The 27,993-nt window shown below is 36.8% G+C and overlaps 1 protein-coding gene and 1 pseudogene across 6 annotated transcripts in view; both read left to right on the plus strand.

Moving 5' to 3' along the window:
* Positions 1-27,993, plus strand: part of CHSY3 (chondroitin sulfate synthase 3) — a 282,656-nt gene that overhangs the window by 228,198 nt on the left and 26,465 nt on the right. The window contains exon 3 of one of the 6 annotated variants that reach the window (XM_005271982.5): positions 8,716-10,168. The exons of 4 other annotated variants lie outside the window; for them this stretch is intronic. In XM_005271982.5, coding sequence (XP_005272039.1) covers positions 8,716-8,763 — 48 coding nt within the window. In that variant the 3' untranslated portion in view covers positions 8,764-10,168. Of the gene's footprint in view, positions 1-8,715; positions 10,169-27,993 lie in introns of those variants that run through there. One more of the 6 variants, XM_017009435.3, reaches the window with a different exon arrangement.
* On the plus strand, positions 7,832-9,971 carry HSPA8P4 (heat shock protein family A (Hsp70) member 8 pseudogene 4; annotated as a pseudogene).

Below are 27,993 nucleotides of genomic sequence, written 5' to 3' on the forward strand. Positions count from 1 at the left end.
TGTAAACCCAGAGTGTCTCATAGCAAGCATTTAAGAAATACTTGAGTGAATCAGCTTTCCACTTTCAACTTTAAGCTCTCTTCAAGATCAGAGATAATCTCTGAAAAAGCATGGTTATTCCTGGTGCATTCATAAATTCAATAAATACTAAGTGATTTATCATGAAACTAAAACTACCGTAGGAACTGGAGATGCCGAACTGAACAAGTTAAACGTGATCATGGACCTCAGAGAGCATAAAGTCTGGAACAAGAAGAAATAATAAGTATAACAAAAACCACAATAACAAATTATTGCAATGTAATATGATGGGCTAAGTTATTATAGAATCACACATTATTCTTGGTACCTTAAGCCACAGTGACAAAATCTCAGTTGATATAAGTAGTTAGACCTTCTGCTTTCTAACAGTATCCTCTCTCTGTTTTAGCAACTGGATCTGATTAGGGTAGCAAGAATGACTTGATTGATACAGATAGCCCAGTGGTTCTCAACAGAGGGCAATTTTGTCTCCCACCCAGGAGATACTTAGCAATGTCTAGAGATATTTAGCAATGTCTAGAGATATTTATTATTGTCATAATTGGGGGACTCCTAGTCAGTAGAAGCCAGAAATGCTGCCAAACATCTTGCAATAACCAGGATGTTTCTCTTCACACACACACAACAAATAATTTTCCACCCCAAACATCAATAGTACCAATGTTGAGAAACCCTGAAGTACCCTAACACTGGCCTCACAATCAGACTTCTGTAATCTTTCACCAAAGACATCATAAAAGCAATAGTTAATATTTTCTAAGCCTCTTCAGTAGGCATAATTCATTCAGAAAGTATTTATTTATTATACTATTATACTATAGGGGCATAAGAAATGCCATGCCTCGTTGGAAATCTGTGTAATATGGGTGGGCATGCTGGAGAGATGTGTCCTGAGATGTTTATGTAAAAGGTTGTATACTAATTTACAAAAAGTTCTCCATCATAGACATAAAAAGGACTCAGAGTCTCAGCACCATGAGAAGGGCAAGAGGCAGAAAATTTTAATGACATTGTTTCCATTACATTCTCAGTCATCTATGAGACAATTGTGTGGATTACTTGTAATGCATTTTTTTCTTCTCCTAGTCAGACTTGGAATTGACCCCTTGGTGTGCATAGATACTCATGACTACCGGGTAGCCATGTGGGATGCATAATTTATACTTTTAGCTTTCATAATCTTGAAATTAGTGAACCATTACAATCTTTTTTATGTCCCTAAAAGCTGGTTTTCAAAAGAGGTTAAGCATCAAGATAAGTTTACAAGGTAAGGCCTGGCGTGGTGGCTCACACCTGTAATCCCAGCACTTTGGGAGGCTAAGGCAGGTGTATCACTTGAGATCAGGAGTTCAAGACAAGCCTGGCCAACATGGTAAAACCCCATCTATACTAAATATACAAAAATTAGCTGGGTGTGGTGCCATGCATCTGTAATCCCAGCTACTTGGGAGGCTGAGGCACGAGAATTGCTTGAACCCAGGAGGCGGAGGTTGCAGTGAGCCAAGATCACACCACTGCACTCCAGCCTGGGCGACAGTGTGAGACTCCGTCTTAAAAAAAAAAAAAAAAAAAAAAAAGAAAAAAAAAAAAAAGGCTGTCAACCTAAGAGAGAGAGCAGCAAAGAAAACTGGTTTATGTTTGCTCCCAAACATACATTCCCTTTATTATGATACCCACTTTCCTCATGTTGCTTAACTCTAATTTTTTATTTTCAGTTATTTCATAAAAACTATACCAGATTATTCTAACAACAGTTATTAAGTATTGTTACTATAATATTAATTGTATTTTCTTGACTTGACTTAACGTATTATTTACATTTTTCCACTAATTTTTTAAGCAACCTGGTGAGATATGTTTGCCTTGTTACTTAAGTGGACAATGAGGCTTACAGAAGTGATGTTGCTTTCTCAGGGTCACAGAGTTTGTAAATGGCAGATTTGGATTCAAACCCAGGTTTGTCTGATTCTGCATGCAGTCCATGCTTCTAATCTTCAAGTTATTACTACACTGGTATGTGTGGTGATTTTTTTGCAAATGGTTGAACAATGTGATTCATTCTATTTTTGGTTTCCATTTGAAAGGTCATACATTTTAAAACTTTAGAAGAGGAGCCTTAGACATCAAAATATATTATAAAAGTAAGATATTTTGGTAGCACACAAAAAAAGTTTAGGATCATTTCTTTGACAATGGCAGGTAATAATCAAAAACATGTAGCATTATTCTGAATCCTGTTGACATTCACCAATTGTAATATCTTATCATGATCTTATATAGCATTCCATATGCATATGTTGAACACATTTACTCTCCTGAGCAGGGACTTTATCTCTTGAGAGGAGAGACTTAGTTTGGTTTAAATATGCTATTCCTAAAAACCATTGATCATCTTGAAATTAGTAATTACTGTTGTTACTGCTACACTGATTATTTAAGATTTTGAGATAGAAGGTTTCAATTTTTTAATGTAGTTTTGTTTTGTGTTTGCATCATTTTTCTACACACAAAGTGTTTAGATGGCAAAGAAAACTGAAGCATAGAATTTTTAAAAATAAAGTTAATAGTTAAATTGCACCATCATCTCTGGTTTTATTTACTTGCACTCTCACGTTTTACTTCCCACCCCCCCCAATTTTTATGCTTCATATGTCTAAAATTGACAAGCTACAAAAAGGTAAACAACAAGAAGTGTATTTTTCTCCAATATCAGAATCTTAAAGCTCACTCCCCAGTCACCCATTTGTGAATCTTATCTTTCGAGACATATTATTTGAATATAGGTACACAGGGTACCCATATACTTTGAATACCTTGTGTACCTATAGTGTCGATATAGATATAGTATAGATACAGATATACACACACATATATACGTGTCTATATTTTTAAACATACATACAGTTGTATATGTGTGGTCCCTTCTTTATGGCTGTATATGAAGGTATATTAAATATATGTGTGTATACATACATACATACATATATGTATACACACACAAACATATATGCATGTCTGTGTATATAATATGTATAAGTTTAATAAGTGTGTGTATATATATATATACACACACACACACCCTGTGCTGTACTTTAGTTTTCTTTCACTCAATCACATCTCTTTAAACTTACTGTACACTAACAAATAGAGATTTACCTCATTTACCTCATTATTTTAAGGACTGCCAAGTGGAGTCACTGAAAAGATACTGAGGTTTATCCTTAGAAAATCAGACTTGGGAAGCATTTTAACCGTTGGAAATAAAATTTTAATTCCTTTCTCTTATATTTTCATTTGTTTAATTTAACTTTAAAGCCCACACCAGTCATGTTCCTTCATTACTTCTCACAGTCTCAAACTCAATTTCCTTTGTTCTTTGTTACCATCATTTTTCTCTGCCTCTCCATATCACAATGAATGGGTTTCCCTGCATGTCAAAACTCACTGAAATAATGTTGAGAAAGCTTTCAGGCTTTACCAGTCATGTTGAACTCATGACTCATATCTCTGGAAATAACTCCGTGTGTCTCAGTGGGGACCATGTCTTGATTATATATTTCCTAATAAAGGCAAAAGAGGTAGAAGATTGTTTTGCTACCCTCACTAATCTTCAGTCTCAAAAGAAATAAGTAAAATCCATTATTATTTTGCGTATATAATTGTTTAGAGACTGTATATAACCAATAAACCAAAATTAAGAATGTTAATTTTCCTTTTGTTTTTCCAAATATTTATTGAAGGCCCTTCATTTCCTAGGCATTATGCCATGTGTTTAAAATTCACTAAGAAAAGTCCCAGACCCTTGTGTTCGTTAAAGCTGTTAAAGAAAACAAGCGAAGTGTTTAAGACAAAGTGTTGAATAATTAAGGTGTACACTGGATACAGTGGAAATCCAGAAGAGGTTATCTACCATAGCTAAATAGGAGTCAGAGTGAGAAAGGCTTCACCAAGGAGGTAATGCTTGATTTTAATTTTAATACGGGAAGATATTAAGCCAGCTAGAGAAGTGGAGTGGTTGCCAGAGGTAGAGAAGTGGGAAAAGGTCCAGGAAGAAGGAATAAGTCACTCCAAGGCAAAAATCAGCATAATGTATTTGGGAAACTGTAAGTAGTTTGGTAAAACTGGGGTGTACTGTGTATGGATGGTTGCAAAGAAACCTAAGGGACAGTCATGAAGGCTGATACTGAGGAGCTTTGAGTAACTGAAGTTTTGAGGCAGGGAGTGATATAAGTGAATTTTAACTCTGGCAGCTGCACAGCAGATGGAGTTGAGAAAGAAGAGAGTGGTCCCATTTCAAAAGCTACTGAAATAGTCCAGGCATGAGCTGATGAGATACAGACCTAAGCACTGGCAGGAATAATGGAAAGAAAATAATAGTTTAAGATTTCTCTAGAAATTAAAAAGACAGGACTTTATTCACTCCTGAGTCATTCAACAAGAAGAAAATCCTATGAAGTAGAGATTTTAATTACCAGTAGATTTGAATCAGAATCTCATGCTTTGTAACACTTGAGCTATAAAATTTTTGATTTTTTAATTTTTGTGTTATTTTATGCACCAGTATTCCTGGTGGGTAAAATATAAAGATTTATTTAAAATATAAAGCATATAATAAATGTTATTGAATTCACCACCCAACCCAAGAACCAGATCATCACCAATAAGTGAGTCTGTTTACTTCTTCCCTATTTTAATCTCGGGTTCTCAAAGCTTAATAAGACTTAAAAGGCCTCATGTGCCTTCAAAATTGTTAGGGGTTTCTTGTCTCCACTGGCTCCAAACAATATCAGATGTTCAAAACTGTTTCCTACCTTTGTTCTTTCTGTATTTTCCCTTACATATAAATCTCTAGTCTTCAGAGAGAGCTAAGAATAAAAAAATCACTCCTCTCAATATATTGTCTTCTACTATTTAAAAATGAGACATAATAGGGATGAAAGAAAATTAGATTTCCTAGATGTTTTGTAGGTTCTGTTTGCACATCTCCGGGAATGAAGATCTTGTATCCTGTCGTTTTCCATGCTATTTAATACAACCAAAATACATCTTCCTACAACTCTTTTCCTTTATCAGTCCTGTGGAACCACACAGAACATGTTCACTTTTTTTCTGACAGCTCATCTGGTATGTGAAGATTATTATGACCTTCTAAGTTTTCTCTTTTCTAACTAAATATTCGAATATTTTCAGTATATCTTCTTGGTTTTCAATCATTTTGCCATCCTGATCCTTTTTCCCTGAAGCACTATATTATATATATTGGTTAAAAGCTTAAATGACACTGGGCATAATATGAATGCGTGAATTTAATTGAGGGTATGTCAGAAATGTTGCACATTAAACATCTAAGAATAGTCTTCTCTTTCATTAAAACATATACTCTCATTTATTTATTAACATGTATCTAGGTCAACTATTTGTTTTCCTACTTTTATTAGAGTCAACAGTAAAAGGATATATTAACTTAAGTCTTAGATATAAAATTTAAGTATTTTTCTCTTAAATATTCCCTATGAAAAAGGCAACAGGACAAACATGATGATCAAGATCCTGGAAATTTGGCTACAGTGTGAGAAGGAAGACAGTTGTTTACAGTAGCAACTGTAACGTCTGGAGGGAGTTTATACCCAATCTAAAGAGTCCAGAATGTTGCCATATGGCAATGTGGACCCAACATTGTTACAACTTCTACCTTCAAGCCAGCTGGAAGTCTGTTTTTGTTTTTTTGGTTTTTTAATGTGAAATTTTTTGATTTGTAAATTTGGTAGCCAATTGAAATAAAGAAGGAAGGAAAAGAGGAGAGAGAGAGAAACTCTGTGTGTTAATATTGTGCTAGCCAAAAAATACAAATACAAAATACAAAAAAAAAATTCAAGAAAAATATTTCTGTAGGACAGACATAGCAATTTTGTAACTCTTGCTTACCAATCCCTGCTACAGATGTTATTTAAGAATAGAAGCTCCTTGGGCAGAAGTGTGGAGCAAAAGAGGCACAGCTGGGCTAAGGAAGCCATTCGAGGGCTGAGCCAGCACCAGGAGCCAGGACAATATCTAGCCAACCAAGGACACATCTCCTCAGGCGTCTAAGGGCAGGCTGTGACCTGAGGTAGGCATAGGCTGTCAGCAAGGTAGGTCATACAGGGTAGGCAGGCTTTGTCCAGAATGCCGGTGGAGCAAGCCTGGAAGGACCACAGGGCCACATGGTTCTGGTGATGGGCATGGCTTAGATGTAGGGAACTCAGAGGCCAGCCAGCTAGGTGGGAAATGTGAAACTGAAGCCAGTTAAATGGCAGGAGGTGGGCTACAGGCAAGAAGGTTAGACAGAAAGCTGATACTAAAAGAATGGCAGACAGCCAAGACTGCTGAATTTTTAGCCTAGAATACATTTCATTCTTTATGCCCAGAAGCAGTATTGGCTCAAGAGCTAAAATGAGGCTGGGAATTGGCAAGGATAATATAAAGATAATAGAGGCCACATAGAGAATAAACCCTTAATCTGATTTAGCAATCAGCAAAAGATTGCTAAAGTGGTGATAAATTATGAGATAAGGATATATTAACTGAAGAGCTCATACTGTTCCAGTAGGTTGGACCCAAATCCCTTTTGTTAAAGTAGAGCAATGATGAGACTATTAAAAATAATATAGTCATGTGTCCCTTAAGTGAATGCATCATTCTGAGAATATGTTCTGAGAAATGCATTTTTGGTGAATTCATCATTGTGTGGTTATCATAGAGTGTATTTATGCAAATATAGATGTTACAACCTACTACATACATAGGCTATATGGTATAGCCTATTGCTCCTAGGGCTATACACCTGTATAGCAAGTTACTGTACTGAATACTCTAGGCAACAGTAAGACAATGGAAAGTGTCTAAACATAGAAAAGTTAATTTGTTGCCCTAAAACATTACAACAATCATATCACTAGGCAATAAAAATGTTTCAGCTGCATCATAATTTTACCAGACCACTGACCATATATGCAGTCCATCATTGACTGAAACATCATCTAAAACATCAATTCAGCCAAGGGTAGAAATTGATTGGCCCAAGGAGGTCCGTTTAGCAAGACACATTGGAATGAACCTTGAAGAGAGAAGTAGAAATTACAGCAGGTGATTATTTTTCCCATCATATGAAGTTCAGAAGTTCAGAGCAAGCAGTGTGGGCTCTGTCACACTTTAGCCGGACATGAAGTCTATGTGAGCTCCAGATTAGAGTATGTATGATAACTTTACATCTTTGTCACTCATAAAAGAGGAGAGCAACACTTTGTTAGAAGATCGAACAAAAGCAATTTTTTGAGAATAGGAGCTGCTTTATTTTAAGTTAAAGTTCTTTTCTTCTGTGCTGCTAATGAGAACATGTGGCTGCCCTCTTGGGATTTTACAACATGAAATCAAAACCATACAGTTCCACTCTGAATATTCTACCTTTAAAATATGGTGAAGAATATTCATAATAATCATTACAGGTGCCATTATAATAGGTATTGATTATTGTGGAGAAATTGGAAACAAAAGCAAATATTTTTAAAGCTTCTACAATATTAGATTGCTTAGTAGTATGATTATAAAACAAATTTTTAGCCAATTATTTTGTTAACAATAGCTTACCTCGAATAATAGATCTTACCTCAAAAGTAGAACTACTTCCTACTACAGCTAAGTTTGGCTATCAAGTCAAGTACACTGACGGAATTTTGAAGCTTTTTAAAAATTCCTATAATGGCTCATGGAATATTGTGATAGCTTTTGGGATTCCTGTGTCTTCACAATCCATGCCATGACTATATGCAAGCAAACATGTCTAAAGGACCTGCAGTTGGTATTGATCTTAGCACTACCAACTGTTGTGTGGGTATTTTCCAGCATGAACAAGTAGAGATAATTGCCAATGATCAGGGAAGCGGAGCCACTCCAAGCTATGTCATCTTCACTGGTAGTGAATGATTGATCAGTGATGCCACAAAGAATCAAATTGCAATGAATCCCTAACAACATGGTTTTTGATGCCAAATATCTGACTGGATGGAGATTTGAGGATACTGTTGTCCAGTCTAATATGAAGCATCAGCCCTTCATAGTGGTGAATAAGCACAACGTCCAAGTAGAATACAAGGGAGAGACAAAAAGCTTCTATCCAGAGGAAGTGTTTTTTATGGTTCTGATAAAGATGAAGGAAATTGCAGAAACCTACCTTGGAAAGACTGTTACCAATGCTGTGGTCACAGTGCCAGCTTACTTTAATGACTCTCAGCATCAGGCTACCAAAGATGCTGGAACAATTGTTAGTCTCAATGTACTTAGAATTATCAGTAAGCCAACTGCTGCTGCTACTGCTTATAGACAAAAAGGTTGGAGCTGAAAGAAACATGCTGATCTTTGACCTGGGAGATGGCACTTTTGATGTGTCAACCCTCATTGTTTAGAATGGAATCTCTGACGTTAGGTCTACAGCCATAGCCACCCACTTGGGTTGAGAAGACTTTGATAACTGAATGGTTAACCATTTTATTACTGAGTTCACACACAAGCACAAGCACAAGAAGGACATCAGTGAGAACAATAGAGCTGTCTGATGCCTCCATACTTCTTGTGAATGTGCTAAGCATATTCTCTCTTCCAGCACCCAGGCCAGTATTGAGATCTATTTTCTCTTTGCAGGAATTGACTTCAATACCTCCATTTTCCATGCCTTATTTGAAGAATTGAATGCTTACCTGTTCCATGGCACTCTAGACTCCGTAGAGAAGGCCCTTGGAAATGCCAAACTAGACAAGTCACAGATCCATGATATTGTCCTGGTTCATGGTTCTATTTGTATTTCCAAGATTTTGTAGCTTCTCCAGACTTCTTTAATGAAAATGAGCTGAATGAGTATCAAGCCTGATGAGGCTGTTGTTTATGGTACAGCTGTCCAGGCAGCCATCCTATCTGGAAGCAAATCTGAAAATGTTCAAGATTTGCTGCTCTTGGATGTCAACTCCTCTTTTTCTTGGTATTGAAACTGCTGGTAGAGTCATGACTGTCCTCATTAAGCATAATCCCACCATTCCTATCAAGCAGACATAGACCTCATTACCTACTTTGACAACCAGCGTGGTGTGCTTATTTAGATTTATCAAGGAGAGAGTGCCATGACCAAGGACAACAACCTGCTTGTCAAGTTTGAACTCACAGTCATTCCTCCTGCATCCCATGGTGTTCCTTTGATTTAAGTCACTTTTGATATTGATGATAATGGCATCCTCAATGTCTCTCTTGTGGCCCAGAGTAAGTAAAGGAGAACAAAGTTATTATCACTAATGACAAGGGCCATTTGAGCAAGGAAGACATTGAATGTATGGTCCAGGAAGCTGAGAAATACAGAGCTGAAGATGAGAAGCAGAAGGACAAGATGTCATCCAAGAATTCAGTTGAAAGCTATGCATTCGATATGAAAGCAGCTGTTGAAGATGAGAAACTTCAAGGCAAGATTAACGTTGAGGACAAACAGAAGATTCTTGATAAGGGTATTAAAATTATCAACTGGCTGGATAAGAATCAGATTCAGAAGAAGGAAGAATTTCAACATCAAAATCTGGAGAAAGTCTGCAACCACATAATTACCAACCTGTACCAGAGTACAGGAGGCACACCAGAAGGAATGCCTGGGGGATTCCCTGATGGTGGAGCTCCCTCTGCTGGAGCTTCCCCAGGGCCCCCATTGAAGAGGCTGACTAAGTCAGCTCAAGTATAGATGTAGCATTGTTCCACAAAGTTAAAACATTGAAGGACTCAAATTTGTAGCAAATTCTGTGGCCATCTTAAAGTTGAGCTGCAGTAGTTAACTACTGGCCAATCTCAATACTCGAATATGGAACATGTGCACAGGGGAGGTACATAACTTTGCACTTTATAAGTACTGTATTATAAGTGGAAAAGGTAATGTCTTAAACAATTGTATTTAAAATTGGCACCAAAAAATTCTATAATAATATGGTTTTCACATAGCCAAACTAGCAGTCAGTATCTACTGAGGAGATGGGGATCTTCAGAGTACTTTGAAACTCACAAGTGTGCATATGCAGTGATTATGTATTTAAAATAAATTGTGACTATTTGGTATCTGTTTCAATTGGTGGAACATTTATTCTCAATCACTCAAACATTTATTCTCCAAAGTAAGAGTCGTGACCTTTTGTTCATAATTTTTCTTTTCCAACTGGAAAACTGAAACCTCGCTTTTTGGAAATGTTGCTTTTAGCTAACAAAGAAATAGAATATTCCAATTTGATTATGTTTTAGGAAATTATTTTAAAGTAAGGCATCAAAATCAATCTCTTTTTAAAGGGTTTTCATTTTTATTATTGTTGTAGGAATTAATTACATAATATCAAAAGATAAATGAGAATATAAATTCAAGATCCTCAAAGCCTTTCCTTTGCAATTGTTTCTAAGCAAAAATTATCCAGACAGTTTCTGTTATTAAATGTGTAGGGAGCTCCTAGGCTATTTGATCAAGTCCCAAATTTCCACTTTCCAAAGACAGAGAATCCATGGTCTTCACCTTAATAGCTGCTTTAGTGAGTGTTCAGTGGGACTGGAAGGGCCAAGGCTCAGAAAATAGGGCAGAGTCAAAATCCCATATGGGTGATCTTGAAGATTTCCCTCAATCAGAACACAGGAGATGGTGGAAAGGAGGAGCGAGCCAGAGGAAAGGGAGCCACTTCTAAAGACACATTAATAATGTATCTGGTACTCATTCTTCATTCTGTCTTCTGTAAGAGTATGGAAGTATGTTATGGCCTTACTTAACACATTGATCTACTGTTAATGCTATCTTTTCACCATAGCGCATTGCTAGCATTTCAGTGTATCTATTCAAAAAAATAAATCCTTAATTACAACAGACAAACTTTTTTGTGTGGATAAAAGCCTAGTGATTGCCTTACCCATAAAGAGCTAGCTAGTTATCTCTCCAGACTATTTGTTTCCTTTGATCATTGTCACAACTTGTCTAATAGAAGTAGTTTGAGTTCATCATTTGAAATAGAAAGGCAATAACCCTCCAGAGTAGGTTGTGATTACAAGACATAATATTGAATTTACTAGGAAAAAGAAGCAGACCATGAGACAAAGGGATTTTTAAAAGCCCACTAAGGGACCAGAGTTCTAAGACAGGCCAAATTAATCTATGCTATTTGAACTGAAATATATGAATTTATACATAGTAAGTGCTACTTTGTATCTGGCTTCTTTCACTCAAAATTAGGTTTGCCAGAGTCATCTGTGTTGTTGCATGGAGCGATGGTTTGCTCATTCTCATGATATATTCATTCATTCTACTGGTTGATATTTGGGCCATTTCTAATTCAGGGTTATTGCTACTATTGGGGCTATTGCATACTATCACTACTATGAAAATTGTTGAACATGTCTTTTGGTGAACATATGTACATTTATTTGACATACCAAGGAGTAGAAATCATACCCATAGGGTATATATATATATGTGTGTGTGTGTGTATATATATATATATATATATATGTGTGTGTGTGTATATATATATATGTGTATATATATATATATATATATGTGTGTATATATATATATATATATATATATATATATATATATGCCAATTCAGCTATATTGGATACTGCCAAACTATTTTCCAAAGTAGTTGAATCAATTGTATACTTTTACTAACTGCATATGAAAGTAAGTATTACTTTATATTCAGGAAAAAGTAAATATTAAACTTCAGAGTGGCAAACTTCAGCTTTACATTGCTGTCTTCTTTTTATTAAGTCGTTCAATCTAGGGTGTCTAGAGATTGATTGTAATGACTTGTGGGTGGCCTTAGATTTCTATGCTTAAAGGGTTTAAGAAGTGTTTCTTCTATAAATATATCTTTCCAAGCAAAAAAAAAAATTCACAAGTATTTCCATGTTTACCAATGACAAAACATCTAATGACTTTTGATATAAATAATAGTACTTTAGAACGCAGAAAAATCTTCCTAAAACTCCAAGTGGAGCAAGATGGCTGACTCCAGTTTCCTGCTACTTATCCCCCACAAAAGGGACTAAATAACAAATATATGGTTATTTGCTGGATACAAAATCAACACACAAAAATCAGTAGCATATCTAAAAACTAATATTACACTGTCAAGTAAAAAAAAATTATTTACAATAGCTGCATAAAAGTAAGGTATCTAGGAATAAACTTAACCAACAAAATAAAAGATATTTACACTAAAAACTATAAACCATTAATGAAAGAAATTGAAGGCACAATTAAGTGGAAAGAAACCCCATGTTCATAGGTTGGAAGAAATAATATTGTTAAAATGTCCATACTACCTAAAGGAAAGTACAGATTCAATATAATTCTTATCAAAATACCAATGAAGCTCTTCAGAGAAATGGAAAAAAAATCTTAATTTTTTTAATGGAACTAAAGACACCAAATAAATAGCCAAAGCAATCGTGAGAAAAAAAGAACAAAGCTGGAGTCATTCCACTGCCTGACTTCAAAATATAGTACAAAGCTATAGTAACCAAACGTATTAGGCCCTTCTCTCAATTGCTATCAAGAAATATCTGAGATGGGGTAATTTATAAAGAAAAAAGGTTTAAGTGGCTCACAGTTCTGCAGGCTGTAAGCCAATTACAAAGAAGCATGATGCTGGCATTTGCTTGGCTTCTGGGGAGGCCTCAGGAAACTTACAATCATGGTGGAAGGAAAAGGGGGAACCAGCACTTCACATGGCTGGTGCAGGAGGAAGAGAGAGGGAAGGGCAGTGCTACACACATTTAAACAACCAGATCTTATGAGAACCCACTCACTATCATGAGAACAGCACCAAGGGGCTGGTGCTAAACCATTAAAGAGAAACCACCCACACAACCCAGTCACCTCCCACCAGCCTCCACCTCCAACACTGGGGATTACAACTGAACATGAGATTTGGGTGGAGACACATATCCAAACCATTCACATCAAAACAACTGGTGCTGGCATAAAAACAGATAAATAAATCAATGGAACATAATAAAGAGGCCAAACATAGTTCACACAGCTATGTCTAACTGATTTTTGACAAAGGTGCCAAGAACACAGTTAGGGAAGAGATAGTATCTTCAATAAATGTTGCTGGGAAAATTTGATATCCACATGCAGAAGAATGAGGCTACACCACTACCTCTCACCATATACAAAATCAACACAAATTCTAGACTTTAAGGAGAATATTAAAGACTTAAATGTAAAACCTGAAATGATGAAACTACAAGAAGGGAAAATGCTTTATGTCATTGGCCTGGGCAAGAATTTTTAAACCAAGACCTCAAATGTGCAGGCAGCAAAAACAAAAACAGACAAATGAGATTACATCAAACTAAAAAGCTTTTGCACAGCAAAGGAAACAACAGAGTAAGGAGACAATGTAGACAATGGGAGAAAAATATTTGCAAACTATACATCTGACAGTGGGTTAATATCCAGAATATGTAAGTAATTTAAACAACTCAACAGCAAAAAAACTAAATTACCCCATTAAAAAATGGACAAATGATATTAATAGACATTTCTAAAAGAAGACATACCAATGGCCAGTGAATACATGAAAAAAAAAGTTCAACATCACTAATCATCAAGGAAATGCAAATCAATACCACAATGAGATACTATCTCATTCCATTTAGAATGGCTATCATTAAAAAGACAAAAGAAAAGTGTTGGCAAAGATATGGAGAAAAGGCAACATTTGCACACTGTTGGTGGTATTGTAAATTAGTATGTCTATTATGGATAACAGTATGGAGATTCCTCAAAAAATTAAAACTAGAACTATCATATGACCCAGCAATCCTACTACTTAATATATATCCAAAGGAAATATAATCAGTATGTTGAAGATATATCTACACTCCCATGTTTATTGTAGCACTATTTATAATAGTCAAGATGTAGAATCAACCTGTGTCCAACAATGGATTAATGGTTAAAGAAAATGTGGTGTATATATAAACAATGTGATATTATCTAGCCATAAAAAAGAATGAAATCCTTCATTTTGCCAGGTGATGGTTGAATCAGGAGGATATTGTGTTAAGTGAAATAAGCAAGCTACAGAAAGACAAATACTGCATGATCTCACTCATACGTGGAAACTAAAAGAAAAGATGTTATCAAACATACCAGAGAGTAGATCAGTGATTACCAGAGACTGGAGAGGGAAGGGAGATGAAGGGGGAGAGGCTGGTTAATAGGCAGAAATTACAATTAGATAGGAAAAATATGTTCTTGTGTTCTATTATACAGTAGAGTTAACCATCACTAGATGGTTAACAGTAAGATATTATACATTATGAAATATCAGAAGATAGGCTTTTTAAAATATTTTCTCCACAAAGAAATGATAAATGCGTTTATCATTAAGGTAATGGATACTAAATACACTGATTTCATCATTATACATACATATTGAAACATCAAATTGTACCCCATGAATATCTACAATTATAGTGTGCTAATTAAAAAAAAAGCATTTTCATTTGTTTTTTGTTTTGTTTTGTTTTGTTTTGTTTTTTGAGACAGAGTTTCATTCTTTTTGCCCAGGCTGGAGTGCAATGGCGCGATCTTGGCTCACTGCAACCTCCACCTCCTGGGTGCAAGTGATTCTCCTGCCTCAGCTTCCCCAGTAGCTGGGATTACAGGTGCCTGCCACCATGCCCAGCTAATTTTTGTATTTTTAGTAGAGACGGGGTTTCACCACGTTGGCCTGGCTAGTCATGAACTCCTGACCTTAAGTGATCCGCCCACCTCGGCCTCCCAAAATGTTGGGATTACAGGCATGAGCCACTGTGCCAGGCCTTCATATGTTTTTATCTCATGGCAGTACTGCTTGCCTTGTTTCCACATGATATATCTGAGATCCAAAGAAGTTAAAAGGTTAAAGCATTTGTATAAATAGCATCGTTCCATATCAGATCTTGGACTATGATCTAGATGTGGAGACTGCCAGCCATGATATCATTCTTCATGGATACAGATGTAGAATTGTGAGCCAAACTCTTTAAAGCATACGTGAGTTGTGATTGTATCAACTGAGCTTTATTTATTCCAGGTAGACAATACCACTGCTAATTTGCATGGTTGCTTTATGTTAATTAATGCATTTGTTTCCTTTTGTAAAAAATTAGAAATTGAGTCATAGAAAGATTAAATGCCTGGCTTAACATTATCAGAAAATGACGTTCCTTTTATGAACTTCCAGTCAAAGAGGTCTCCAACTTCTATAACATCAAGCATTTTAACAGCATATGTGTATTAGGCCATTCTTACATTGCTATAAAGAAATACCTACGACTGGGTAATTTACAAAGAAAATAAATTTAACTGGCTCCTGATTCTGTAGGGTATAGAGGAAGCATGGTGCTCGGCATCTGCTCAGCTTCTGATGAGGCCTCAGGGAGCTTACAATCTGGCAGTAGGCAAAGTGGGAGTTTGCATGTCACATGGAAAAGCAGGAATGAGAGCGAGTAGGGGAATGAGAGCGAGTAGGGGTAAGATAATACACAATTTTATTTTATTTCATTTTTTGCTTTTTACAACTTTGACTTTTAAATTGAGAAGTAATTTTTTAACCTCAAGTTTAAGGGAACATGTGCAGGTTTGTTACACAGGTAAACCCGTGTCATGGGGGGTTGTTGTACAGATTATTTTGTTACCCAAGTATTAACCACAACAACCATGGTTATTTTTCCTGATCCCCTCCCTCCTCCCACCCTCCATACTCCTGAAGGGTGCTGTTTCCCTTTATGTGTATATGTGTTCTCATCACTGTTCCCCGTGTGTGTTGTTTTCTTCTATACGTACGTACATGTGTTCTCATCATCTTGCTCCCACTTATAAGTGAGAACATGTGTTATTTGGTTTTCTGTTCCTGCATTACTTTGCTAAGGATAATGGTCTCTAGCTCCGTTCATGTTCCTGCAAAGTACATGATCCCATTCTTTTTATGGCTGCATAGTATTCCATGGTGTATATGTACCACATTTTCTTTATTAGTCTATCATTTATAGGCACTTAGGATTGATTCCATGTCTTTAGCATTGTTAATAGTGCCGCAGTGAACACATGCATGTGTCTTTATGGTAGAATGATTTGTATTCCTTTGGGTATATACCCAGTAATGGGATTGCTGGGTAGAACGGTAGCTCTGCTTTCAGGTCTCTGATGAATCACCACACTGTTTTCCACAATGGTTAAAGCTAATTTACACTCCCACCAATACTGTGTAATGTTTCTTTTTCTCCTCAACCTGGCCAGCACCTCTCATTTTTTGATGTTTTAATAATAGCCATTCTGACTGGTATGAGATGGTATCTCCTTGTGGTTTTGATTTGCATTTCTCTAATGATCAGTGATGTTGTTGAGCTTTTTTCATATGCTTATTGGCTATATGTATGTCTTCTTTTAAAAAGTGGCTGTTCATGTTCTTTGCCCGCTTTTTAATGGGGTTTTTTGTTTTTTTATTGTAAATTTGTTTAAGTTCCTTATAGATGCTGGATATTAGACCTTTGTCAGATGCATAAATTGAAATTATCTCCTATTCTGTGGGTTGTCCGGTGACTCTGTTGGTAGTTTCCTTTGCTGTGCAGAGTTCTTTAGTTTAATTGTATCCCATTTATCAGTTCTTGCTTTGGTTGCCATTGCTTTTGGCATCTTCATTATGAAATCTTTGCCTGTTCATATGTCCAGAATGGTGTTGCCTAGGTTACCTTCCAAGGTTTTTATAGTTTTGTGTTTTACATTTAAGTATTTAATCCATCTTGAGTTGATTTGTGTATATGTTGTAAGGAAGTGGTCCAGTTTCAATCTTCTTCATATGGCTAGCCAGTTATCCCAGCACCATTTATTGATGTGTCTCTTACCCAATTGCAAAGTTGCTTCCACATTTTCAGGTATCTTTATAGCAAGACCCCACTCCTTGGTACCAATTTTCTGTATTAGGCTGTTCTTGCATTGCTATAAATAAATACCTGAGACTGGGTAATTTATAAAGAAAAGAAATTTAATTGGCTCATGGTTCTGCAGGCTTCACAGGAAGCATAGTACCAGTATCTGCTTCTGAGGAGGCCTCTGTAAACTTATAATTATGGCAGAAGGCAAAGCAGGAGGTTGTACATCACATGGTGAAAGCAGGAGCAAGAGAGAATGGGGGACGGGAGGTGCCACACACTTTAAAAGACCAGATCTTGCATGAACTCGGAGCAAGAGCTCACTGTCACAAAGACAGCACCAAGCCATAAGGGGGTCCGCCCCCATGATCCAAACACCTCCCACTAGGCCCCATCTCCAGCATTGGGGATTGAAATTCAACATGAGATTTGGGCAGGGACAAACATCCAAACTATATCAACATATGGTGGCAACCCATTATGACAGATTATTATATTAAATGAGACTGAGTATCTAAAGAGTGAGAGTTGCATTAATGACTAAAATTCTGGTATAACAAGGGTCAGCTACCTTTCTCAGAACTGGACAGATTTGCCACTGTGCATTTGTTGGTTAAAACACCAGTATCTGTATACAAGTTTCTTTAATGAAATGTAAAATTACAGTAATTTTTAAAATATGAATTATGCTTGAAAATTTTATTCAGCCATTAAAATGATGTTTATAAGCTATTTGAAATAACCAGCTTTAAAAGTAGACTAAGAAATTGCATATGTCTTATGATCACAGCTATGTACAAATACATACAAAAAGACTGAAAGTATGTATATAAAAATAATGATGGCTCTCGTGTGATTTTAGATCAGGGGTGTATTTTGACAACTTTTAAAATATTTTCCAAATTTTGTAAAGTAAGTATTTATTACTTTTTTTCACAAAGAATGAAAAATTATTAGAAAGTTTGACTACTAGTGAGAGAGACAAATGGATAGAATTTTTCAGCAGTAAACAGAAGATACACACTGTATTCCAATAACGGGGAAAAATAAATAGCAAAGTTTTAGGTCTAACAATATCATTAATTGTATGAAAGCAGAAATTCAACAGGTCATATCTTTTAGGACACTAAAATGGCAGTAGAAATTATAAATTGTAATCAACAAGTAATATCTAGCCACACACAAATTTTGTTTCTTTTAATTAATTTATAAAATAAATAAAATACTCAACAAATTACCTTTAAGAGGTCACAATATTTATTACTTTAAAATGAAAAAATGTAAATAGAAATAATATTGTACTGGAGAAATCATTTAAAATATTGATAAGTAGAGGTGTGTTCAACCAACCAGTATTAATTAATAACAACATGAACACATTTGAATATATACTATTGATAAAAATTTTATGATTATATGATATTTAGGCCTGAAGCAGTCTCAAAAGGATTACTTTCCATCATGGTGCTAAGAGTACTGTAAACTTTTATGTTAAGTGTGCTAACTTACAGGATGAATTACTAAGGACATTAGCACCGATGTCCTTACTAATGAAGGACACATTCAAAATAGTACAGGATCTGCTCCCTTGGTTAATACCATGTATTTTCCATCTTTTCTGAATCTCTATGAAGGAATAAAACTTGCAGTTTTATTTGTTTCTTCCTATGAGTTTTATGTAACTTTATGATTTCACAAAATATTTTTATGTGCCCTAGAGAAATAATACAGTATTTCTTAAAAGAAATCATGTGTTTGTGTGGGTCTGCCTGTCCATTCCCTTTAGATCTAGTTGAAACATCATCACACCAAGTTTGTTTCAAAGCATGACAACTAATGCAGGAACATTTTGTAAGCTCATAGTGTCTGAAAAAGAAAATAGGAACTCTGTAGTTCAGCATCATTAAGAACCACATGGATATTTTGTGGGGATTATGGGTGTCATATTTCTGTGATAGGTTATACATTTGGAATGTGCATGCTGATTTGTTGTGATCCACTAAGGTACTGCAGCCCCTTACAGGTACACTTTTAAGTTTTGTAGGTCAGAAAATAAAACTCAAAAATTACACTTTCAAGACTGGTAACTTTGCCAAATGTCATTACTGTGAGGCCCAAAATGCCACTTTTGGTGAGCAAATTGGGGCATGCTTGACACAAGTCCTTTGCCTTCTGATAGTTAGTGTGGGATAGAAGATCCAATGAACAGCATGAACTTCAGAAAGCAAGTACTGACATGCTCAAATCATTCTTTCACACATCCATTCAGCAAATAGTTATTGACTGTGTGCCAGGTGCTAATCTCAGTGCTGGGAACGTGGCTGTTGTGTTAGCCTGTTCTCTTGCTGCTATGAAGATATACCCCAGACTGAGTAATTTATAAAGAAAAGAGGCTTAATTGACTTGCAGTTCAGCACGGCTGGGGAAGCCTCAGGAAACTTACAGTCATGGAAGAAGGAGAAGCAAACACGTCCTCCTTCACATGGTGGCACGAAGAAGTGTCAAGCAAACGGAGAAAGCCCCTTATAAAACTACCAGATCTTATGAGAACTCACTCAGTATCATGAGAACATCATGGGGGTAACCGCCCCCATGATTCAGTTACCTCCTACTGTGTCCCTTCCATGATACATGGGGATTATGAGGTTACAATTCCAGATGAGATTTGAGTGGGAAAACAAACCCAAACCATATTAGCTGTGAACAAAACAGGCAAAATTCATCCCCTCACAATGCTTGCATTCATCAGCATTCATCAGCATTGTCATTGTAGATACATCTGAGAAGTTTTTAATTTCTTTGAGGACATATCTATGCCAGGCACTAGGTGCCCTTGAGCCAGCCCAACATTATTCAAAATTTAATTCGGAGACACCTGCATCAGAATCACTTGGAGACACATTTTAAAAATCAGAATTGGACTCTTTTAAGAAAAAGTCTGAAAATCTGCATTTTTGACAAGCACCCCAGCTGCATCTTCACATGAAAGTTTAAAAGCCACTGTTCCAGCATTAACGTTTAATATTTACTATAAGGAAAAAATAATAGCAGAATAGTTGAAGCCAAAGTAATTTGCAAACCTTGTGACCATAATCAAAATTGTTGACTTTCCATAAAAGCTGTGGTCTTCCCATTCTAACACTATATTCAGTAAGAAACAGCTGCAGACTGACTATTAATGATTTCCAGAACACATATTGAAAAATTAAATAAAAAGTGCTTCACATGTTTTGATCCTCTACTAACTTTCATCATTTCTCTTCTTCCTGTAATTTTTGTAGATATTTTTATGTCGACTTTTTTTCCTTCACCACAGAGTATTTAAAACTTTTCCTATCAGTTTTGTGAGGGTGAGTAAGAGGGCGAGAGTTATTTAAGCTTCTAATCAGTGTTCTCTTGCTAAAATTGGAGGTAAATAAATAATTAAAATTCACATATGGAATACCTATAATTAAAACTATACATACAGCAATAGACACAAGTTTCCTTTGAAAGCAACAGATAAGAGAATCACAGCTGTTGTTAAAAGCTGTTTTGCAAAGAAATATGAAGGAAGCTTGACTGATAATATTTAATGCCCTTGGAACATCTGTAAAATGGCCTTCTTTCAGTTTTTGGTAATTTTTGAAAACTGAAGAAATTATTACAAACCATTTGCTAGCCTAAGCAGCACTAGTTTTATAAAATTCTTACTTCTGTGTACATCATCTCTGTAGCCCCAGTCAAATCAATGGCATGTTACATAAAAGCAACTACTGATAGGCTAAGTGCAGCGGCTCACACCTGTAATCAGTCCCAGCATTTTAGGAGGCTGAGGCGGGCAGATCACTTGAAATCAGGAGTTCGAGACCAGCCTGGCCAAAGTGGTGAAACCCTGCCTCTACTAAAAATACAAAAATTAGCTGGGTGTGGTGGTGCACACCTGTGGTCCTGGCTACTTGGGAGGCTGAGACACGAGAATTGCTTGAGTCTGGAAGGCGGAGGTTGCAGTGAGGCAGTGAGCAGAGATCACACTACTGCACTCTAGCCTGGGGACCTGGGCAACACAGCAAGACTCTAAAATAAAATTTAGAGTCCTATTTTTCTTGCCCCAACCTGGAAAATTACCATTCTTGAGAAAAAAAAAACATACGACATAATTCACCAACTGCTTAAAACTACATAAATTTGTTGCCTTTGTATACCCTTCTCCTAGCCATTCTGACCTCTGATGTTTTCTCAAAACATCATTCTCTCTCAGCCTTTAAGTTTTGCAAGTTGAATCTTACCTGCTTATAAATACCTTCTCCTATTACCTCTCTTCCCATTTTTTTCACCTTTGATCCTTTAAATCTCAGCGTATAATCCCCAATCTGGGAAGCCTTTTTTCATTGCTCCAACAGGTAGTCCCTTTTTAATTTACAGCTCCTTGAAGGCAGGATTCTACTTCAGCATGCATCACACTGTGCTTCCTCCTGATGTCACCTCTGCAAGTGCCACAGCTGGTCTTGATCATCGTGGAGCCCCCATTGTGAGCACTGCTGCCAAGCCTCTGTTGGGTCAAAATGCTAGAGTTTAGAGTTTGCAAACTATTGGTTCTTGGCAAGCTCTTAGTTTTATTTACTTGGTTCATTGTTCATTTAGTTTTTGTTTTTCGTTTTTTTGTTTGTTTTATTTTTTTTCTGTAATCATTACGTAAACATTAGGAAATTGCACATACCATAGAAATTTGGATTTCTGGCTGTTTTTGTTTGTTTGTTTGTTTGTTTGTTTGAGACAGAGTCTCACACTGTTGCCCAGGCTGGATGCAATGCCACAATCTTGGCTCACTGCAACCTCCACCTCTCAGTTTCAAGTGATTCTCCAGCCTCAGCCTTCTGAGTAGCTGGGACTACAGGTGCACGCCACCACACCCAGCTAATTTTCATACTTTTAGTAGAGACAGGGTTTCATCATATTGGTCAGGCTGGTCTTGAACTCCTGACCTCAGGTGATCCACCCACCTCAGCCTCCCAAAGTGCTGGGATTACAGGCATGAGCCACCGCGTCTGGCCCTGGCTGTTTTTAAAAATCACAAGATATGCTAACATCAGTCCCAGTAGACAAGAATTTAAGGAATAGCTCTTCCTTTAACATAAGACAAATAGCTTTTCACTTAATCTCCTTCAACTCTTTGCCCCTGGCCTCTGGAGTATTAGAATGTGTGTGTCCCACTTGCTAATTTAAATTTCACATGTCTTGGAATGGAGGACAAAACATTATGATAGCTAATCCAATATTATCTTAAACTATCTCAGTGAACCATCCCATGATCTTATTTTCTCCCATTCAGAAAGACTCAGTGCCTTCTTAAATGCCATGTTTTTGTGTGTCTATCCATCCAGCGTTGTGATTATTCATTTGCGATTATTCATATGTGTCTAGACATTATTAAATCATTGGGTTGAGAGTGTGTCTTCTTCAATTCTGGTGGTTATGTAGCACATAGTGGATGTTCATTAATAGTAATATGTTAATTAACTTTGACATGGAGGTGTTTATATGTTGTTGCTGTGTGACTCTCAGATGAAATTCTTTTCTATTCAATATTATATTGTAAGAGGAGAAATTAATGTTATTGTTAGGAGTGTGAGATAATTACAATAGAACTACTAAGGGAGTTAAAGATCTTCCTAGGAAGGTAGAGTGTTAGATAGAGACTGGCAAACCCTGTACCACTAAAACTTTAACTTGCATCCAGATCACCTGGGGATTTTGTTAAACTACAGCTTCTGATTCACTAGGTTTGGGGTGGGGCCTGAGAGTCTTCATTTCTAACACACTCTTCGATGATGACCATATTGACACCTCGAACAGCAACTCCAACAGGTTTGAATCTTCAGTAGGAATTTGGTATTGGTTAAGTGGTAGACCGCTACTCCCTGGGACATACTGTAATCTGAAGATGAGGTCTGTAGGAGGCATTTCCTAGAGTTAACCTTGGTTTTAATTCTTCAGTATGCCAAGAAAACTGAATGCTGGATTCTGGATAGATAGCTTGTAATGGGCCAGCAGATTTTCTTTGTATAGTAAACGTGGGACCTTTACATATTTAGGAAGCCCCCATTTGGGGAAAAAATGTGCACATAAAAGAAGGCCCTTTGATTTCAGTTGAAGGGCAAGCCATCTGGCCCTCTTTTTGTGCAGTAATCAGGCTAATAGTGCTAGTGGCTTTGTTGGAGAAAGCATAGAATGGTACTTTAAATCTGTTCAAGGCCCTATTTTTAGAGTCTGGCAGCACAGGAATGAAGTGTTTATTTCATGTTTAATGCAACCTTCCACTTCAAACTAGAAACGTTTCTTTTCCTCTACTGAGTTTCTATCAAGTCTCCCAAGAAACACTGCCAGCTTTGCATATCCCTATCCTCTAAGATGATTAACTGTTTAAAATTGAAAAGCCTTGAAAATGCAAATCCTGCCACAGGCTCCTCGTGGGGTAAAAAGACAACTCAAATAAAATGTTTCCAGATGGTTTAGGCATTATGTTCTTTATATCCTCAAAGCAAGGGAGAGATCCTAAGCTGGACGAGTCGGTAAAGAGTCATATTGAGGAATATTTAGCAGCTTCTTTTTCAGAAGCTGAAGAAGGCCACTGCATAGTTCCTGGAGTGGCATACATTAGTGAGATTCTATTAAGCAGCTGTTCGGCTCTAGTAAGAGCTGCCTCAGTAGAAGGGTAGGATGGCTTATGTAGTCTTGTTTTTTAATCATTGTACATTTGTAATCTATTTTGCAATCTCAAAACATTTTCTTAACCTGACAGTTTAGCATTTGAGAGCAGCTGTATCTGCTAATCCAAATCAATAGATCTTATGGTATGAGGAGTGCAGTTATAGCTTTATTAGTAATACTGAATTTTTACAGAAAGAACTGTCAGATTTCTTATCATAGTATACACTACCTGGAGTAATTTTTTTCCCCTGAGCAATTTAGTTACTTGTTTTTCTGACAGTCACTTAAAGTATATCCTCCACCTTTTAAAGAGAGACGTTCAAGTTACTGCTTATTTCTAACTTGCAGTCACAAAATCCATAAAAATTTGGTTGCTTCAAAATAGAATGAGAGAGGAGTATGGATTTTGAGCAGGTGTCAGGCTGTTTATTTGGTTTCCCCCATTTTGTGCAAGGCATTTCATCATCTAGGCCACCTTAATGCCAAGGTACACTTGTCATCTGTTGAATACACACATTTAGTATTTAAATAGCAATTTGCATTTTCAAAGTGTTTTGTCTACTATTAATTAGCATTTCTTCGCAGCATACCTGTGAGATGGGTCAATATCACCATTTTACAGATCAGAAAAGTGGAATGACAAAGGCTGAGTGATTTGAATGAAGGACTATAACAAGTCAAAGGCAGCCAAGGATGGATTTGTGGCACCAGCCTGGGAGTTCAAACATATCATGCTCTCTGAGCATCAACACCCTTCCACTCAGTGCTCAAAGAGGGCTTAATATTAGTAAAGACATAGATGGTTTTGCTTAAGCAGCAGATAAACAAATTACTGGGGTTTAATTGATTAATACATGGACTAGATTGACTATGGGCAAGCAAGCTACATCTTACAGACAGCTACTGGCTGAAACCATAGGATCAGGCTTTTTGACACCCATCTCTATGACAACAGTATGGAAACTTTTTTAACAGCAAGAAAACACTTTTTATTGAATATCTATTCTGTGTGAAGACTCTCTTAGAATCTACAAATATCATTGTTATGGCAGCTGTAAGGATATACTGTCATTCCTAATTTGTAGATTAAGAAACTGGGGTTAAATTCCTTTTCTAAATCACTTGGCTGGTTTGAGGTGAGGCTTTGATTCAAACACAAGTTTACGAACTACTTACTTGTGGTCCCCAAATGTGCACATGTTGAGGTTAAGTATCAGTCTGGACCAGAGAGCCACACAGAGTTGACTTCTCTCTCCCATTGTTATCAATGACTCAGGTAAATTTACAGACAGCAAGCACATCATGTTTTAAAACCTGTGAAGATTAATAGAATAAATGTTAGTTAAGGGAATAATGATCTACTGTATTTTTAAAAGGCCAAAACAATGAGCCAAATCTGGTGCTCAGATACTCAGGCCATACCTGGAGTGCTGTTATGTGTTTACTTTTGGTTATTATACCTTAATAGGACTGCAATTCAGTAGAAACATATTTAAAGGAGAGAGACTAGGGTGCTAATAGGAACTATTTAGGCTGCATAGCAGCAGACCTAAGTGACCCAAGCTATCTATAACATGAAGACATGTCATATGGAAGAAGGAATAAAACCTGAGTTTGGCAATGTTAGATGTTAGAATTAATACCAGTCGCTAAGATTTAAAGGACCAAAGATTTTCGTTTAGTAGAGAAAAATTTTCTATGGGTCACATCTGTCTAAAAAAGAGTCAACCGAACAGAGAGGCACTGAATCCCAATCATCATGTCACCTGAAAGGGCTCCCGATCCAGACCCCAAAAGAGGGTTCCTGGATTTCGAGCAAGAAAGAATTCGAGGTGAATCCATAGGGTAAAGTGAAAGCAAGTTTATTTAAAAAGTAAAGAAATAACTGAGCAGTGGCATGCGCCACTGGTTGCCCATTTTTATGGTTATTTCTTGACTATATGCTAAACAAGGGGTGGATTATTCATGAGTTTTCCAAGAAAGGGGTGGGAAATTCCCAGAACTGAGGATTTTTCCCCTTTTTAGACCATATAGGGTAACTTCTGGATGTTGCCACGGCATCTATAAATTGCCATGGCATCTATAAGTTGTCATGGCATTTATAAATTGTCATGTGTCTTTTAGCATGCTATTGCATTATAATTGCATTTTAAAAGCAGTGGGGACGACCAGAGGTCACTCTTGTTGCCATCTTGGTTTTGATGGGTTTCGTCCAGCTTCTCTACTGCAACCTGTTTTATCAGCAAGGTCTTTGTTACATGTATGTTGTGCTGATTTCCTATCTCATCCTGTGACTTAGAATGGCTAACTCACTGGGAATGCAGTTCAGCAGGTCTCAGCCTTATTTTATCCAGCCCCTATTCAAGATGGAGTCGCTCTGGTTCACAAACACCTCTGACAATCAAAGTTGTCTGGCTGGTGTGGTGAGTGGCAGGAGCATGCCTTTGAAGCCAGACATGCCAGAGTTTGAATTTCAACTCTACCATTGCACTGCTCTGAATGAAGAACAATGGTAGAGGTGCTGTATCCTGTTCTTAAAGAAGCAAGTAACATCTAGCTATACCCTACGTTAAGTTTCCTAGAGTACTTCTTAGCCAACAAGTGGTACCCGGCAAATACTTAATGTCAATTTCCCAGTTTAAAGAGATCAGATAAAAGGCATTTATCATCAAATGTGGGTCTAGACAAGATGTGTTTTAAAGTGCCCAATATTATGCTCTGGACAGCCTTTGATTCTAAGTCAGGATCAGCCATTAGTCAAGGGAGAATGAATTTTCTAAGTGGTGACCTTTTATAAAGGAAAGTATGGGTGAGCTGAAAACTTATTCTAGAGTTTTTGCAGCAAGTTTCTGAAAAGCATTACTTAAGTATGAACAGACAAAAAGAAAGTTGTCATCAAGGGAATTTCCATTTTTTTTATTTGTTTGTTTATTTATTTATTTTAGAGACAGGATCTCCATCTGTTGGCCAAGCTGGAGTGCAGTGCTATGATCACAGCTCACTGCAGCCTCGACCTCCTAGGGCTCAGGCGATCTTTTCACTTCAGCCTCCCAAGTAGCTGGAACTGCAGGCATGTGCTACCACGTCCTGCTAATTTTTCTATTTTTTGTAGAGACGCAGTTTCACCATGTTGCCCAGTCTGTCTCGAACTGCTGAGTGCAAGCGATCTGCCTGCCTCAGCCTCCCAAAGTGCTGGGATTACAGGCGTGAACCATGGCACCAAGCAGAATTTTGGTTTACTAAAAAACATTAAAACATTTATTTCTTAATTCTGCATTAAGATTTGTCTTTTTTTTTTTTTTTTTTTTTGAGACAGGATCTACTCTGTTGCCCAGGCTAGAGTGCAGTGGCACAATCATGGCTCACTGTAGCCTGGACCTCCCAGGGCTCAGGTGATCCTCCCACCCCAGCCTCCCAACTAGCCAGGACTACAGGCGTGCGCCACCACACTCTGCTATTTTTTCTATTTTTTGTAGTGACAGGGTTTCACCATGTTGCCCAGGCTGGTCTCAAAATCCTGGGCTCAAGGGATCTGCCTATTTTAGCTTCCCAAAGTGCTGGGATTACAGGCTTGAGCCACTGTACCTGGCCGCAATTCTGCATTAAGATTTTTAAAAGCATGTTTTATGTAGTACTTGAATCACTTTAAATTTAGTTTTAAGCACTTTTCTTTTACTTATTGTGCAGCCTCTTCTTACTGCTTTTTTTCATTTTTCCAATTGAGGCTGTATAAATAAGTGAAGTAAAAGTTTGAATGCAATATCTAGTCGTTGCATTTTCTCTGTAATATGCAAATTAAGTCTAATACCTTTAAGCAAATTAGCATATATCAATTATTCTTATCTTAGATACACATGACTAGAGGTATGATTGGTGAGATTAGGATATTGGTAATAATTTAAAGGGCAAGAGCAAGGATCAGCATCAGTGATCACTGTAAATTAGCCAAGAAATGCATCCAAGGCAATCAGTTACTGACAGTACTTACCATGGAACAGTTTCTTGGTAGAAGTGCATACCTAATGTGACAAAGAATATTTCTAACTAAAAATCCCTAATAGTAGCATTTTTTTTTGAAGAAAATCAAAGGCAACACAGTGGTTTGAATGGAGTTTGAAGGTGTCACCCAGGTTACAGAAAAAGAAAGCATATGTTACTGGAGATACTCTGTTTTGAGACTGTTAGCACGATTTAAAGATTATTCCATCTGAGAAGACGATTTCTGTCAAATTTTGCATTCCAGTTTGGATCTAAATCTGGAGCAGATTGAGTATTTGCATTCTATTTTTATTCATA

The sequence above is a fragment of the Homo sapiens genome, chromosome 5 (assembly GCF_000001405.40).
Source record: "Homo sapiens chromosome 5, GRCh38.p14 Primary Assembly".
NCBI classification, from domain to species: Eukaryota; Metazoa; Chordata; class Mammalia; order Primates; family Hominidae; genus Homo; species Homo sapiens.